Source organism: Homo sapiens, chromosome 2 (assembly GCF_000001405.40).
Source record: "Homo sapiens chromosome 2, GRCh38.p14 Primary Assembly".
Taxonomy (NCBI): Eukaryota; Metazoa; Chordata; class Mammalia; order Primates; family Hominidae; genus Homo; species Homo sapiens.
Genome location: NC_000002.12, coordinates 164657329 through 164674440, shown reverse-complemented (window position 1 = coordinate 164674440; position 17112 = coordinate 164657329). Strand labels below are relative to the sequence as shown.

The following is a 17112-nucleotide window of genomic DNA, read 5'->3' as shown; positions in this document are numbered from 1 at the left end:
CCTCATTCTTCTATATTGCCTGTCATATTAGGCATGCAATAAATGTTTGTTGAAAGAATGCATGAATAAGACAGTAAATTTTGGCTGGGCGCAGTGGTTCACGCCTGTAATGCCAGCACTTTGGGAGGTCGAGGTGGGCAGATCACGAGGTCAAGAGATCGAGGCCATCCTGGCCAACACGGTGAAACCCTATCTCAACTAAAAATACAAAAATTAGCTGGGTCTGGTGGTGCGTGCCTATAGTTCCAGCTACTCGGGAGGCTGAAGCAGGAGAATCACTTGAATCTGGGAGGTGGAGGTTGCAATGAGCCAAGATTACGCCACTGCACTCCAGACTGGCGACAGAACAAGCCTCTGTCTGAAAACAAACAACAACAACAAAAAACAAAAAGATAGTAAATTTTATATTTTAGCTTGACTAAATGAGGCATAGACCATTAGAAATACCAATTCTACCTTCCTACAAATCTTATAATAGAGGTACTCAATAGTATTTATAGCATAATAATATGACAATAGCCAGCTTCATTCTTGATGTAATTGTAGAATTCTCTCAAGTTTCTAAAGAGATATTTTTTAAAAATTTGGTTAGGTTTAATTTGCCCAAAGTTGTTTTCGTTTCCATTTAAACATATTCTGCCATAAACAATACACAAATATATAAGCACAGAACTCTTTCATAGTACTTGTAAAAGTGGCTTACAAACTTGGAAATTCCTGTGAAGTGAATTCACTGAGTTTATTTATTTATTTATTTATTTTTATTTTTTTGAAACAGAGTCTCTTTCACCCAGGCTGCAGTGCAGTGGCCCGATCTCAGCTCACTACAACCTCCGCTCCTGGGTTCAAGTGATTCTCATGCCTCAACCTCCCTAGTAGCTAAGATTACAAACATGCGCCACCACACCCGGCTAATTTTTGTATTTTTAGTGGAGATGAGGTTTCACCATGTTGGCCAGGGTGGTCTCAAGCTCCTGATCTCAAGTGATGTGCCTGCCTCAGCCTCCCAAAGTGCTGGGATTACATGCGTGAGCCACTGCGCCTGGCCTAGCCACCGCGCCCAGCCTTACTGATCGAGCTTAAAAACATTCACCAAGTACCCGCAATATAAAGTACTATGCCTCTAACTAATGCCCCCCTCTCCATTGCGCCTTTCTTATTCTTTCCGTAGAGGTGAATAAGTCTGGTCATGTTCTCTGATTTTATATTTATTATGTATTTTAAGCTTTATTACTTTTTTCCATTTTAATAGATTTTAACAAGAGAACAGACAAATTTCACTATTTCAGTAATAAGAAAATTCTCATAAGAATCAAGGAATAACAGACATGAATTATGTATACTTATAAAGACAATTGCTTTTTCCAAAATTATATTTCATGAGAAAAGTTCAGTAACATTTAATTGAAGGCAATTTTTAAATTATTGTTGTTTTTGCTAGAATCAGTTTTATTCCAGAGTGTGTGGGGCTGCAGTTACACAATGCAGGGAGGGTGCAGTCTGGACCAGGAAACCAGAAATCTGGGTTATGGGCCTGGGGATGTACCAATTTACTAGGAGACCTTATCCAAGTTACTTCACTTCTCAGAGCCTCAAGTCTTTTATCTGTAATACTAAGGTGTTCTGAAATATCCCTGTCTCTTCCAGAAAACATATAATGAATCATCACACCAATATTGTGAATTTCATAGTGACATTTTTTACAAAGTCATTTTTTTTTTTTTTTTTTTTTTTTGAGACGGAGTCTCGCTCTGTCGCCCAGGCCGGACTGCGGACTGCAGTGGCGCAATCTCGGCTCACTGCAAGCTCCGCTTCCCGGGTTCACGCCATTCTCCTGCCTCAGCCTCCCGAGTAGCTGGGACTACAGGCGCCCGCCACCGCGCCCGGCTAATTTTTTTGTATTTTTGGTAGAGACGGGGTTTCACCTTGTTAGCCAGGATGGTCTCGATCTCCTGACCTCATGATCCACCCGCCTCGGCCTCCCAAAGTGCTGGGATTACAGGCGTGAGCCACCGCGCCCGGCCTACAAAGTCATTTTTAAGGGAAGAAGAAAAAAACCCTCTCCTTTCTTGAAGTCTAGATTCTATTTAAGTGATACTATTTGTCTATGAAAAATACAATGAGCTATGGTGAAGTGATTTGTGTAAATGATCTCATTCAGGAGGCACTGAAGGGACAGACACTTGTCATTGCCAAGTAAGTCACATTTAAATTCCCTCAAGCCTTGAGAAATAATGTGAGGGAAAGTGCAAAAATAGCACAGTCATTCCTTTGGACTAAGTCAACTCCTAGGCCTCCTGAGAGCACTGTAGCTGTGTGTTCATCTCTATGCAAAGAGAAATAAAAAGAATCAACTATATTTGTCACAGGGTACTTTCCTATATACCAGCGTACACCTCTATCAATACATTTTATGCTGAGACTTTCGGTAAGGAAAGACTGACCATACACACTGCCTCATGCACAGATATAGACACATATTGAAGATACTTTCTTTCCCCTGCAATGCAGAAAATTGCATGAGCACACACAACCACACTAAACCAACCAGAATGAAACTAGAGGCAGCTGTATCTGATTGAAACTGGTGAGAATTGAGATTGACAGAGTTACAGGGCTAGGAGGTTAATGAGTCCATACTCCTGCCTCCAGTCAGAACTGTCCTAAGCCATTCCAAGTAAATGACAGCTCAGCCTCTTGGAAAAAAAAAAAAAAATCTTCATAACGTGCTTCAGTAACCGATTCCATTGTCTAAATGTCCTTATCCTCATAAAGCTCTGGAAGCAATATGAGTCCACATTCTCCTCTGTTTAATCTCTATGTTGACAGATATCGAAAATAATAAATTGACAGAAATGTCAAAGATGATGAGAGCCTTAGGGATGGGTCATGGAACTGGTTATCACCTTTCCAGAGACCTCAGAGGAGAGAATAATTAGCAAGTCTGTTGTGGATTGTGGTTCTAGTTGAAGTAATATTATGAGTCTATTTGTTTTTGCACATAAAATCTGTTATGAACTGCTAAATGAAATTTTGCCTTGCACTTCATAGCAAGGGCCACAGACTTAGCAAACACTATCCTGAGCAGAAACATGTCATCAAAGAATAGGTTCTTACATTAAAAAAAGACAAAAAAACAAAAAAGGAAGTGTAGAACTGGTGTGCAAGTAGAACCATACTTCTTTATTTACTAATTATTTTTTGTTATAGTATTCTAATTTATAGATACTTTCTCATATATAATGGTTCTAATAATAGATTACTGCATGCCTTTTACTTCTGAGAATTGGGAGTGATGAAGGTGTTGGCAGCATTATATATAGAAAGGAGTAAGAGGTTTGCAAACCAGAGTTCTAATCCCTTGTCTGCTGTTTTATCATCTCTATGGGTTTCAGAATATTGCTTGATGCCTGGACTTCATTGCCCTTACCTGTGAAGTGAGACTAATAACGCCTATTTTACATTGTTCTTGAAGAATGAAATGAGATAATACTGGTGAAAGCACCCAGGACTTGGCAGGCACTAGAATAAATGTCAATTGACCATGAATCTGATCTGCCACCATTGCTTTTCTTTCTTCTCCATTCCTCATGAGTTCTGAGAAGTAATTCAGTGTGGGACAAACTTTCCTCTTCTGAGCATGTCACTAGCCTTGGTTTCTGCTTCCATTTGGCCTCTCTTCTCTGTTGCTGATCACCATGCAGGCTCGTGGGGGGAAATTTCCCACAGGGACATCAGGGGCAAAGGCAAGGAGGCCTTCTCATCCCAACTTAAAACTGATGTTGGATTTTAACTTGAATTTTTAAAAATCTGCACATGTTATATTTTTGCTAATTAAAAGTAGATGGAATTCAGGTTCTAAAACACTGTATTCATTTTTAGAAAGCCATAACAGAACTTCTTTGTGCAAAGGATAAAGAGACTGATTCAAAGATAGACTACTTTTTAATTCACAAGAGTGAGCAATAAGATTGCTATTATTCATTGTTAGCTAGAAATGCTATTATCTTCATTATTTGGAATAGATTGAAAAAACTTATTATCAGAGAAATATGTTCTTATACATATAAAAGATAGATGTAGAGATAATTAAAACATCACTCCTAATTTTATGATCCAGAAACAACCACTGATAATATTTATGCACTTTTTTTTCTCTTTTTCTACATATATTCTGATGGGAAGGACTGCTTTCAAGTTCAAATTCTTCCACTTACTGGTCAGTCTTTGCAAGTTATTTAGGTTCTCTAAGCATCTGTCACTGCATCTGAAAACTGGTACCAACTTTATAGAGTGCTTGTGAAGATTAATAAGAAAATGCATATAAAACACTCAGTACTGAATGTGGTACAGAATAAGCTTTCAATCATGTCAGCTGCTGTTATGATGTTCTTTATTATCTGTATTATATTTTCAATGGAAAAATAACAGTTCAAGGAGCGGCAATGACAGTCACTAGCAAGCTATTTTGACTTGGGCATTTGGAGTTGGTGCAATACAGAAAGTCAGGTTTCTCACGTAACAACAACAACAAAAAGACAATTTACTTAATGCTTTACTGTGTGATCCCAGATACTGTAATATCATAACTTATTTAATCCTTACAACAGACATATAAGAAACATTATTATTATTCCCATTTACAGATGAGTAAACTGAGTCAAAGTTTAAGCCACATGCAAATTTTCACAGTGAAGTGGCAAAACTGGGATGTGAATGGAATCAATTGAACCAGATAGATATGTACCAAGAAAAGAATTAGATAGATGGCCTATCCTTTTAGAAAGAATGTTTTGCAGTGTTCCCAATTGGGTACATCCAGCAAAGTTACAGGGCTTCACATTCAGTCCATTTCTTCTGAACTTTGTGGGTAGCTAGAAGTGGTTGGGCAGCAAGCAGTGTTCTTGGAAAAATAGATGTGTATTACTCTTGGAAACAGACCATGTTGCAAGAAAGTCTTTGGCATAAAACAAGGCTGAGTATACACAGTTGTCTCTCATATGGCATTGGTTTGGAAACATAAGTGGACAAGCCAAACTCTATAAGTCTCCCTTTTCCTTTGAATTGAATTCCAGAATGTGTTTTTACACTTGATCTCATCCAAAAGGCTGAGAAGCAATCAGAATGTGTTTTTTTATATTACCAGGTAGCATTCATGTTTGTCCTTATTTATTCCCGCATAATATTTCATTCAGTGGATGTAACAAAGGCTATTGAATGAAAACAAGATTCCTCATTCATTCCAAACTAAGTTAAAAATCCTATGCTCTCTGAGTTCATCAACTCTTCCCTTTCGGATAATGAGGAAAAAAAGAGAACAAAAGTATCTAAAAACACAAGACGAACAAATGATAAACAATCAGTGCTGTCAACTTTTGGGGGGAAAACTATGTTCAGCTATTGCTAAGGACAGGATAAATTGGTACATTCCTGTTAGAAAACAATTTAGCAACACTTATGAAGTGTACTGTAAATGTACTGTAAATGTTCATACCGTTCATACCACTTGGCACAGGTTCTCCCATTCCTGGGAATTTATCCTAAGGCAATAATTAAAAAGAAAAAAGTATATAAATTCAGGCAGAACTCAAATGAAGTGTTAATTATAAATGAAACCCAAGGAGCAAACTGATGGTTCAACAATAGACAAGTAGATAAATAAACATCCACAGAATGTTTTGCTCCTTCAAATAATTATAATCATGAACGAGAAAATAACAGAGAAAAAGGAAAAGTTAAAAAGCAGGGCACTAAATATACAGGCATACCTCATTTCACTGTGCTTTGCTTAATTGCACTTCACGAACATTGGATTTTTTACAAATTGAATGTTAGTGGCAACCCTGCATCAGGTAATTTGATTAGTGCGATTTTTCCAACAGCATGTGCTCACTTCATGTCCTTGTGTCACACTTTTGTAATTGTAAAATGTAAGACAGCAAACAACTGAGAAATGTTGTATGTGTTCTGACTGCTCCAACAACCAGCCATTCCCCCATCTCTCTTGTCTCCTCAGGCCTCCCTATTTCCTGAGACGCAACATATTGAAACTAGGCCAATTAACCCTACAGTGGCCTCTAAGTGTTCAAGTGAAAGAAAGAGTTAAAGGCTCTCACTTTGTACCAAAAGCTAGGAATGATCAAGTTTAGTGAGGAAGGCATGTCAAAAGCCGAGACAGGCTGGGCGTGGTGGCTCACACGTGTAATCTCAGCACTTTGGGAGGCCAAGGCGGGTAGATCACCTGAGGTCCGGAGTTCATGACCAGCCTGGCCAACATGGTGAAACCCCACCTCTACAAAAAATACAAAAGTTAGCAGGGAGTGGTGGTGCATGCCTGTAGTCCCAGCTACTTGGGAGGCTGAGGCAGGACAATCATGAACTGGAAAATAACAGAGAAACTGGAAAATAACAGAGGTTGCAGTGAGCTGAGCTCACGCCACTGCCCTCCAGCCTGGGCGATAGAGTGAGACTCCATCTCAAAAAAAAAAAAAAAAGAAAGCCGAGACAGGCTTATTATACCAAACAGCCAAGTTGTGAATGCAAATGAAAAGATCTTAAAGGAAATGAAAAGTGCTACTCCAGTGAACACATGAATGATAAGAAAGCAAAGCAGCCTTATTGCTAATATGGAGACAGTTTAGTGGTCTGGCTAGAAGATCAAAGCAGCCACAACATACCCTTGAGCCAAAACCTAATCCAGAGCAACATCCTAACTCTCTCGTCAATTCTATGAAGGCTGAGAGAGATGAAGCTATAGAAGAAAAATGTGAAGCTAGGAGAGGTTAGTTCACAAGGTTTAACAAAAGAAGCTGTCTCTGTAACAGAAAAGTGTAAAGTGAAGCAGCAAGTGCTGATGTAGAAGCTGCAGCAAGCTATGCAGAAGATCTAGATTAGATCATTGATGAAGGCGGGGCTACACTAAATAACAGATTTTTAACATAGACAAAACAGCCTTCTCTTGGAAGAAAATGTCATCTAGGACTTTTATAGCTAGAGAGAAGTCAATGAATGGCTTCAAAGCTTCAGTGAACAGGCTGACTCTCTTGTTAGGGGCTAATGGAACTGGTGACTTTAAGTTGAAACCAGTGCTCATTTAGCATTCCAAAAAATATGAGCGTCCTTCGTAATTATGCTATATCTACTGTGCCTGTGCTCAAAACACCAAAGCATGGATGACAGCACCTCTGTTTACAGCACGGATTACTGAATATTTTAAGCCCACCGTTGACATCAATTGCTTAGAAAAAAAGATCCATTTCAAAATATTACTGTTCATTGATAATGCACCTAGTCACCCAGGACCTCTGTTGAAGATATATAAAGAGATTAATATTTAACATATAATATTAAATAAATATCTTATTATTTAAGAAATACATTTTGTGGGGCTATACCTTACATAGTTATTCTTCTGATGGATCCGAGGAAAGTAAAAACTTTCTGGAAAAGATTCACCATTCTAGATGCCATTAAGAACATTTGTGATTCATGGGAAGAAGTAAAAACAGCAACATTAAAAAGAGTTTGGAAGAAGTTGATTCCAACCCTCATGGATGACTTGGAAGGGTTCAAGACTCCAGTAGAGGAAATCACAGCAGATGTGGTAGAAATAACAAGAGAGCTAGAATTAGAAGTGGAGCCTGAAGATGTGACTGGATTGCCACAATCTCATAAGAAAACTTGAACAGTTGAGGAGTTGCTTCTTATGGAAGAGCAAAGAAAGTGTTCTTTTGAGATGGAAATGACAACAAAGGATTTAGATATTACACAAACTTAGTTGAAAAAGCATCGGCAGGTTTTGAGAAGACTGACTCAAATTTTGAAAGAAGTCCTACTGTGGGTAAAATGTTATCAAACAGCATTGCATGCTACAGATAAATCTTTTGTGAAAGGAAGAGTTTGTTAGTGTGGCAAGCTTCACTGGTATATTATTTTAAGAAATTACCAGAACCACCTCAGCCTCCAGCAAACACCATCTTGATTTATCAGCAGCCATCAACATTGAGGCAAGACCTTCTACTAGCAAAAACATTACGACTTACTGAAGATTCAGATGATCGTTAGCATTTTTTAGCAATATAGTATTTTTAAGGTATGTACATTGTTTTTTAGACATAATGTTATTGCACAATTACTAGACTATAGTATAGTGTGTCCATAACTTTTATATGTACTGGGCAACCAAAAAATTTGTGTGACTTGCTTAATTGCAATATTTATTATATTGTAGTGGTCTAGAATGGAACCTGCAGTATCTCTGAGGTATAACTATACTTCATGTTTAGAGTTTTATTTTATTTTCTAATTGACATATAATAATTATACATATCTATGGGATACATAGTGATGTTTCAATACATAAACTATATAGTGATCAATCAGCTTAATTATATGTATCACACATCATCTCAAACATTTATTTATTTTTGTTAGGAACATTCAATATTATTCTAGCTATTTGAAACTATATAATATACTATTGTTAACTATCATCATTCTAAAGTAGAACACTAGCACTGTCAATCTGTTTTCTCACTAGGATGGATAATGCATCTGTAAACCTGAAACGTACCCATTCTCCTTGAAGGCAAATGGTAAGGTCTGCAGTTTTTTATGTGTTTGGTTAAATAGTTATGGTTGCTGGAGGTGAGAAGAGGAAAATTGACATACTCTTCTAATGCCAAAAAACCCACATACTCTTCCTCCCTTTATTTAGCTCATTTATTAATTATTTTGCATTTCTCAAACAACATTTGAATTAATTTAATTAAAAAATAGCTACCATCCAGCTTATGGTAGGTAATATTGAATAAATAGCAGCAATGGTGTTAAAACAGGAATATCAACTATGTAACTTTTTTCTTTCCAAATTAGCCATTTTAGAAAAGATTGATAATAAATTTCTGGGGTAGGGTTTTCAATCTTTTTGAAGTAAGATTTCACTTCAAAAATTATGCCATGTCTTTTTTTTTTTTTAAACTACAGTAGACACTTACGTTACTCTTTCCTGTTACTGACTGTTTTTCGTGACCATCAACATGAATTTCAGGCTCCCTTTTCAGTAGCTATTCATTCTTTCTTTCTTTCTTTCTTTCTTTCTTTTTTTTTTTGACACAGAATCTTGCTCTGTCACCCCAGTCTGGAGTGCAGTGGTGCGATTTCAGCTCACTGCAACCTCTGTCCCTGGGTTCAAATGATTCTCATGTCTCAGCCTCCTGAGTAGCTGGAATTACAGGCGCCCGCCACCACACCTGGCTAATTTTTGTATTTTTAGTAGAGATGGCGTTTTGCCATGTTGGCCAGGCTGGTCTCAAACTCCTGACCTCAAGTGATCTGCTCGCCTTGGCCTCCCAAAGTTCTGGGATTACAGGCGTGAGCCACTGTGCCCGACCCACTTTTGTTTTCCTTTATCTGCCATCTTGATATGACCATTTAACCTTTCATTTCTATTTGTTGATTCTCTCATGTACTTTTTCTTTCACCCTGTTTTGTGTATTTTTTTAAAGGCACCCTGGCTAACTAGCCACACTTTCATTTTTCAGTTTTGGACATAAAGGTTAACTCAATGCCAGCTCTTAAACAGCACTTTATTTGGTTAAATAATTTATCAGGAGAACTAAATGACCATGGTTTTGTGTCACTAAGAACATCTTCTCGTTATTCTCATCTTGTATTCAAATGCTCTGTTGTAAATAGAGAAAATGCTTTTAATTTCTTTTTATTTATTCAATATAAATAGACGCCTTATGAAGAAATTAACCGTTCTTCCTCACCTGTTATTAAAAGTTTTGTCACTTAGTTTATACAGTTTAGTCTTACGGTTGAATAGTACTTATATATTTTAATCATGTTGGAGTAAACTAGCCAGGTATTCATTGACTTTGTCTGCAATGATTGATTATCCCTCATTTTGTGTGGCTGTTGATTTATTTTTTGAGTTATTCATATGGAAATACTTTCTTTCCCAAGTAGATCATTGCCCTAAAGTACTTTTCAATGTAAGAAATATAATATTGAACTTTTCATTTTGTCATGAAGTCTCAAATATAGGCAATGACTCTAATGTGACTCTATTCTTTGATTTGTGTCTTTTAACATCTGAAAATACTAGCTATTAGGAAAGAAAATTATGGCTCTCCAAATGGTAATGTAACACCATGGGATGACTCCCTTGTTTTCATAGATGACATGTTAGTGCTTATCTATACTTTAACCATCATAGGTGACTGCTTGAGCAGTGTCATCAGAGAATAGTGTGCAAATACATAGGACTTCATTTAACAATACTCAGTGGGATAGAACAGGAAGCAAAACCTTACCCTCTCTGCATTATAGGCTTTTCTGCAAAATGGGAAGCTGTCACTTCATCTGTGAAGCCTCTTCTAGGTATAAAGTCTCCAATAACTCTGATTGTTTTTATTTTAAGTATAAGATTATACATTTTAGTAAAAGCAAAAAGGATTTTAAAGCTTATTTTCATTTATTTTTAATTTCAATTTTATTTTAGATCAGAGGGTACATATGCAGATCTGTTACAATGGTATACTGTGTGAAGTTTGGGCTTCCATTTATCTTGTCACACAAATAGTGAACATAGTACCCAATAGGAAGTTTTTTAGTCCTTGCTTTCTCACTTCTCTAATTTGGTGTTCCCAGTATCTATTGTTCCCATCCTTATGTCTATGTGTACCCAAGATTTAGCTCCACTTATAAGTGAAAACATGCAATATTTGATTTTCTGTTCCTGTGCTAATTTGCTTAGGATAATGGCCTCCAGGGGCATCCATGTTTCTGCAAAGGGCCTGATTTCATTCTTTTTTATGGCTGTGAAGTATTCCATGGTGTATATGTACCACATATTCTTTATCCAATCCAGCATCAGTGAGCACCCAGGTTGATTCCATGTCTTTGCTGTGGTGAATTCTGTTGCATAGTTGTTGGTAGAACAATTTATTTTCCTTTGGGTACATATGCAGTAATGGGAGTGCTGGGGTGAATTGTAGTTCTATTTTTAAATACTTGAGAAACCTCCAAACTGCTTTTCACAGTGGCTAAACTAATTTACATTCCTACCAACAGTGAACAAGCATTCAAAAAGGACTTTAAAAAAATAAAGATATTTTAAATGATTCATGGCTCAATATTTAGAATTTATTGTGGTAGACAATAACTGGTGAATATTAGGGATATGTTGGATTATAGCTATAGCTACCTTTATTTACATTTTCAAATGTATGTGCATTGAAGAAAGAAATTTAAATGTGCAGGTTGCCCTATGCCCTCAGAATATTAAACGAAGGCAATAAAACATGATAAAACAAAACAAAATGGAAATTAGAAGTTTTTACATATTGACTAAAACCCTGCCCTGAAAAGTCCAATGCATACATTTAATATGTCTACTACCATGAAACTGAGATGAAAGGATGTTGCCATGATATTATACTGACTGTATTAGGCTGTTCTTGCATTGCTATAAAGAAATACCCAAGGCAGGGTAATTTATAAAGAAAAGAGATTTAATTGACTCATCATTCTGCAGGCTGTACAAGCATGGTGCCAGCATCTGCTTAACTTCTGGGGAGGTCTCAGGGAGCTTTGACTTATGGCGGAAGGCAAGATGGGGGCAGGCATGTCACGTGGCCAGAACAGGAGCAAGAGAGAGAATGTGAGGGGAGTTGTCACACACTTTTAGTCAACCAGATCTCCCAAGAGTTCAGTCACTATGATGAGGACAGCACCAAAGGGATAATGCTAACCCAGCACCAAAGGGATAATGGTAAACCGTTAATGAGAAAGCCACTCCCATGATCCAAACATCTCCCACTAGGCCCCACCTCCAACACTAGGCATTACATTTCAACATGAGATTTGGCAGGGACATATATTGAAACGATATCACTGACTCTTCAGAAAATCCAACATTAAAAATGCTAAATGCATAACAGAAGTAAGTTTATTAGTTCCATGTTACACAGGGAGTACTTGTAGGTTTTCTTTGAAAGGAGCCATTTATGATTCCTTCATTAGTGCATTTATAATATGATTCCATGTGCAAAATTTCCATTTCCACACAGTTTCTTGGTAACAAATCTCTTGTGTGAAGCAAGGTCTACTTGTAATCTTATGCTTTACTAAGCAAGGCTGAGTAGCCTCAAGGTCATTCAGACAAATTTTTGGCTTCTGTGAGAAGACAGACCCAAGCTATTTAAGGAATATCTGGCTGCTGGAGAGCCTGAAGCCAAATTTGCAGCTCATCACTAGCAAGTGTATGTTTTTTAGATGTTAACTCGACTTCTGGCTCCATCTAACTTTTCCATACTTATTTTTTCCTTTACCTTGTTTAAAAATACTCTCAATTCAAAACATTTTGAATTTCTCTATATTAAAAACAATATCAGTAACCTGCCTTAAGTTCCTTTTGATGCATATCTGGATATGAATTTAAAAACAAGAGTGAATAATTTGTGTGATTATTAGGAAGCTCAAAAGAGCAGAATTAAGAAACAGCCTATTGCCAAGATTATTTTTATGCTAGAATCAAAAATGAATAACCATAAAAAACATTACTTCTTAACAAGAAATAACTTATTTGTTGAAAAACACAAATAATTAAATATGCCTTAAGTTAAATATATGGCTTTACTTGAAGTAATCCTAATACTATAGTACTTACTTATAAATTAAATTCCAAACAGTTTATGGATCTGCAAAAGATTATGACATTTTGAAAACTCTATTTCAATATTTAAAATGGCACATTGAAGTGTGATTCTCATGAAAATACCTATGACATCTACATTAATACACACTGGAAAGATAGTAATCAGTGAACTTCTGTGATTTCCACATGAATCAACAGTGGAACATTGCTTAATCCACCACTAAATTACATCATGTTTAATTTATGTGGAAATGTTTGGAAATGCTTAAAATGTCAGTGGTAAATCATTTTACAGTCTTAATTAAACACTTTTCTATGATAAATTGCTCTATAAACAAAGTAAAATACTATTCTTACATAACTATCAATTTATTGTGAAAGACTTCAACCCCAAATCATTATAGTTTCTTCTTTGTATGAGCCAAAGCTTGTATCCTTCAAGGATTCATTTTCCTGTCATGTGGCAAATAATTTTAATATAAAATGCTTATTTCCATCCCATAGCTGGTTATCATTTTTTTAAACTCACAGTATTTATTTCTTAATATATAAATATCATAATGAGTTATAGAGTCTCCAAAAATGATTAATTCTTAAACTTTGACACTCTTTCCCCCAATAATAAGGTACTGAATGTAATATACTAAAGAGTAATGTTCTCCTCCCAAACTCCATTACTTTTATTATAAAGAATATTTAAGAAAGGAGTTCAATTTCACGGTAGAAACTAGTTGAAATGTAATTTTTATGTTTGGCACATGAAAGATTTTATGTTAAGCTGAGACATAAATGTTTTGAATCAGAAAAATACTATCTAAAATCAATAACTTCACAGGTACAGTCTCTATAACTATAAAATCCAGGAAATGAGAGTCCCATTAGGGTTTAAATCACTATTTGATTAAATGTTTCAATCAAACCCATTTTGTAATGTTTTATATGCACACTTACCTAAAATGTAGTATTATTCAAGAGCTATGATTGCTGTATGTAATGTAATTTAGTTAAAATGGATGCAAATTCATATGATTCCAGTTACATATGAACTTAAAATTAGATGTCTGCTGCTTTTTGTATCATTTTCCAGAAAAATGAGTCAACAACCAATTAGGAAACTGTACCAGTCAACTCTTGATTACAAATTGACAGAAACCATTAATAACAAAGCAACACAGTATGAGTATAATACACCAAAAGGAACATAGGTAGTGTACTACTGGGCTTGTTTTTCAGCTGAGGCCTCAATGGAACTTTGTGAGTCTCCTCCTCTACTTCACTTCCTTTGCCTTCAGTTTGAATCTCACTGGGTCAGAGTCAGGGATTTGAACCCCTCGTGGCCCTCCTGAATCAGGTTGCAGTATAATTTCGTTGACACTTTCTCCCAATCCCCAAGTATAGCAATAACTCTACTTTCCCCCAAGAGGAACAAGAAAACACAATAACACATTAACAACAGTGACAATCTTTTTATTTCCCTGTTTACTTACGGCATTAAAACTCCAAACTCGTACAGCCTTAATTTCCAAATCAATGCAATATTACTGTGTCTCTTGGTAGAGAATTCCCCTTTTCTTGGTGCTATGCTATCAGAGTCCAAAATCAAAAGGACAGAAAGCAGACAATTAGAATGTGTCAATAAGTGTAATCTCAAAGGCTTGCATCCCAGTTTCCAGTCCTAGGACTCCAGACGCATATATTTTAGCTAAGGGGGTAAAAGAATGCCATGTGGTAGTCACTTATTCAGAACATAAACTGTATTCTGCAGGACAGTACCTCAAATTTGCAAGCTATTGACTCTGAATGAAGCTCATCTGAGTTTTCATGGAGTATGCAATACCCACAAATCCCTTGAACATTAGCTCATTGCTTTGTTTCTCTATAAAGTTATTTCCTTTAAACTGAAGCAACTTTGTGTGGGATACCATGCCCTTGCATATGGTAGACAATCTATAGATAGAGCAAGGACAGAGAAAAATGATCAATAAAAGAAAAAAAATCCAGAATAAATATTTATTGCAAGAAGGAAAGATTTCTGCTACTCACTCCTTATTCCCTAAAAGATGGCAGTTGCCCACTCCGGACAACCTGACACCAAATAGTTCTTTGGTCCTTCTAGGTATAATGCTTATAAGGACTTATGATGGTCTACTGCTATTAGAAAATGGAGTTACAATAATACAGGGAAGAGATCTTACTGTGTGGACATCTCATGATGTGAACGGCATACTCACTGCTAAAGGAGACTTGTAGCTATCAGACAACCATTTACTTAAACATCAGGCTCTGTTACTTGAAGGGCCAGTGCTGCGACTGCACACTTGTGCAACTCTTAACCCAGCCACATTTCTTCCAGACAATGAAGAAAAGATAGAACATAACTGTCAACAAGTAATTGCTCAAACCTATGCCACTCGAGGGGACCTTTTAGTGTTTCCCTTAACTGATCCTGACCTCAACTTGTATACTGATGGAAGTTCCTTTGTAGAAAAAGGACTTCAAAAAGCGGGGTATGCAGTGGTCAGTGATAATGGAATACTTTAAAGTAATCCCCTCACTCCAGGAACTAGTGCTCAGCTGGCAAAACTAATAGCCCTCACTCGGGCACTAGAATTAGGAGAAGGAAAAAGAGTAAATATATATACAGACTCTAGGTATGCTTACCTAGTCCTCCATGCCCATGCAGCAATATGGAGAGAAAGGGAATTCTTAATTTCGAGGGAACACCTATCAAACATCAGGAAGCCATTAGGAGATTATTATTGGCTGTACAGAAACCTAAAGAGGTGGCAGTCTTACACTGCTGGGGTCATCAGAAAGGAAGGGAAAGGGAAATAGAAGGGAACTGTCAAGCAGATATTGAAGCCAAAAGAGCCACAAGGCAGGACCCTCCATTAGAGATGCTTATAGAAGGACCCCTAGTATGGGGTAATCCCCTCCAGGAAACCAAGCCCCAATGCTCAGCAGGAGAAATAGATTGGGGAACCTCATGAGGACACAGTTTTCTCCCCTCAGGATGGCTAGCCACCAAAGAAGGAAAAGTACTTTTGCCTGCAGCTAACCAATGGAAATTACTTAAAACCCTTCACCAAATCTTTCACTTAGGCATTGATAGCACCCATCAGATGGCCAAATTATTATTTACTGGACCAGGCCTTTTCAAAACTATCAGGCAGATAGTCAGGGCCTGTGAAGTGTGCCAAAGAAATAATCCCCTGCACTGCAGGCCATACATTTCAATCCCTATATCTTTAACCTCCTTGTTAAGTTTGTCTCTTCCAGAATCAAAGCTGTAAAACTACAAATCGTTCTTCAAATGGAGCCCCAGATGCAGTCCATGACTAAGATCTACCGTGGACCCCTGGACCGGCCTGCTAGCCCATGCTCTGATGTTAATGACATTGAAGGCACCCCTCCCAAGGAAATCTCAACTGCACCACCCCTACTATGCCCCAGTTCAACAGGAAGCAGTTAGAGCGGTCTTCGGCCAACCTCCCCAAAAGCACTTGGGTTTTCCTGTTGAGAGGGGGGACTGAGAGACAGGACTAGCTGGATTTCCTAGGCCGACTAAGAATCCCTAAGCCTAGCTGGGAAGGTGACCGCTTCCATCTTTAAACACGGGGCTTACAACTTAACTCACACATGACCAATCAGATAGTAAGGAGAGCTCACTAAAATGCTAATTAGGCAACAACAGGAGGTAAAGAAATAGCCAATCACCTGTTGCCTGAGAGCACAGCGGGAGGGACAATGATCGGGATATAAACCCAGGCATTCAAGCCGGCAACAGCAACCCCCTTTGGGTCCCCTCCCTTTGTATGGGAGCTCTGTTTTCACTCTACTTCACTCTATCAAATCTTGCAACTGCAAAAAAAAAAAATGGATCATTTGTAAAGACCGTAGCCATATTACCATTGGTAAGAACTCCATGTTGTTGAAACCATGAATAACCTTCATTCCTTCCATGATGAACATGTGGTTCTTGAGTCCACTGTAATTTTCTGAGAAAGAAGGGTGACCTATGTCTACTGAGTGGGTCACCTTATTCACACTAGAGGCTTTGTGGTGAATATAACTTTCCAAGAAATATATTCTCGTTCTGGGCTCACTATAAAGGGTCATACCCCTTCAGCATACCCTTTCCCTAAACTTCCTCCACAATGCTCCGAGTTCACTATTTTCAAGTGCCTGGCTGTCTAACCAGTGCCTTAACAGCTGAATTGGTGTAGGTTCCTGTTCTAGTTATTGTTGTTGCATAAAAAATTAACCCACAGCTTTGTGTTTTAAAACAATCACTTTATTCTAATCATGGATTCTGTGGGTAAGGAATTGGAGTGGGAGACAATTTATCTTTGCTCCATGATGTCTGTGACCTCAGTTAGGAAGTCTCGAAGCCTGGGGATGACTCAATGACTGTGGGCTGGAAGCATCTGAAAGCTTGTTCATTCACA

The 17112-nt window shown here is 37.5% G+C and overlaps 1 protein-coding gene across 1 annotated transcript in view; it reads left to right on the top strand.

Moving 5' to 3' along the window:
• COBLL1 (cordon-bleu WH2 repeat protein like 1) overlaps positions 1 to 16510 on the top strand; it is a 184146-nt gene extending 167636 nt beyond the window's left edge. The window contains exons 15-16 of the mRNA NM_001365671.1: positions 8540 to 8594; positions 15930 to 16510. Coding sequence (NP_001352600.1) covers positions 8540 to 8548 — 9 coding nt within the window. The 3' untranslated portion in view covers positions 8549 to 8594; positions 15930 to 16510. The remainder of the gene's footprint in view (positions 1 to 8539; positions 8595 to 15929) is intronic.
• The last annotated feature ends 602 nt before the right edge of the window (positions 16511 to 17112 follow it).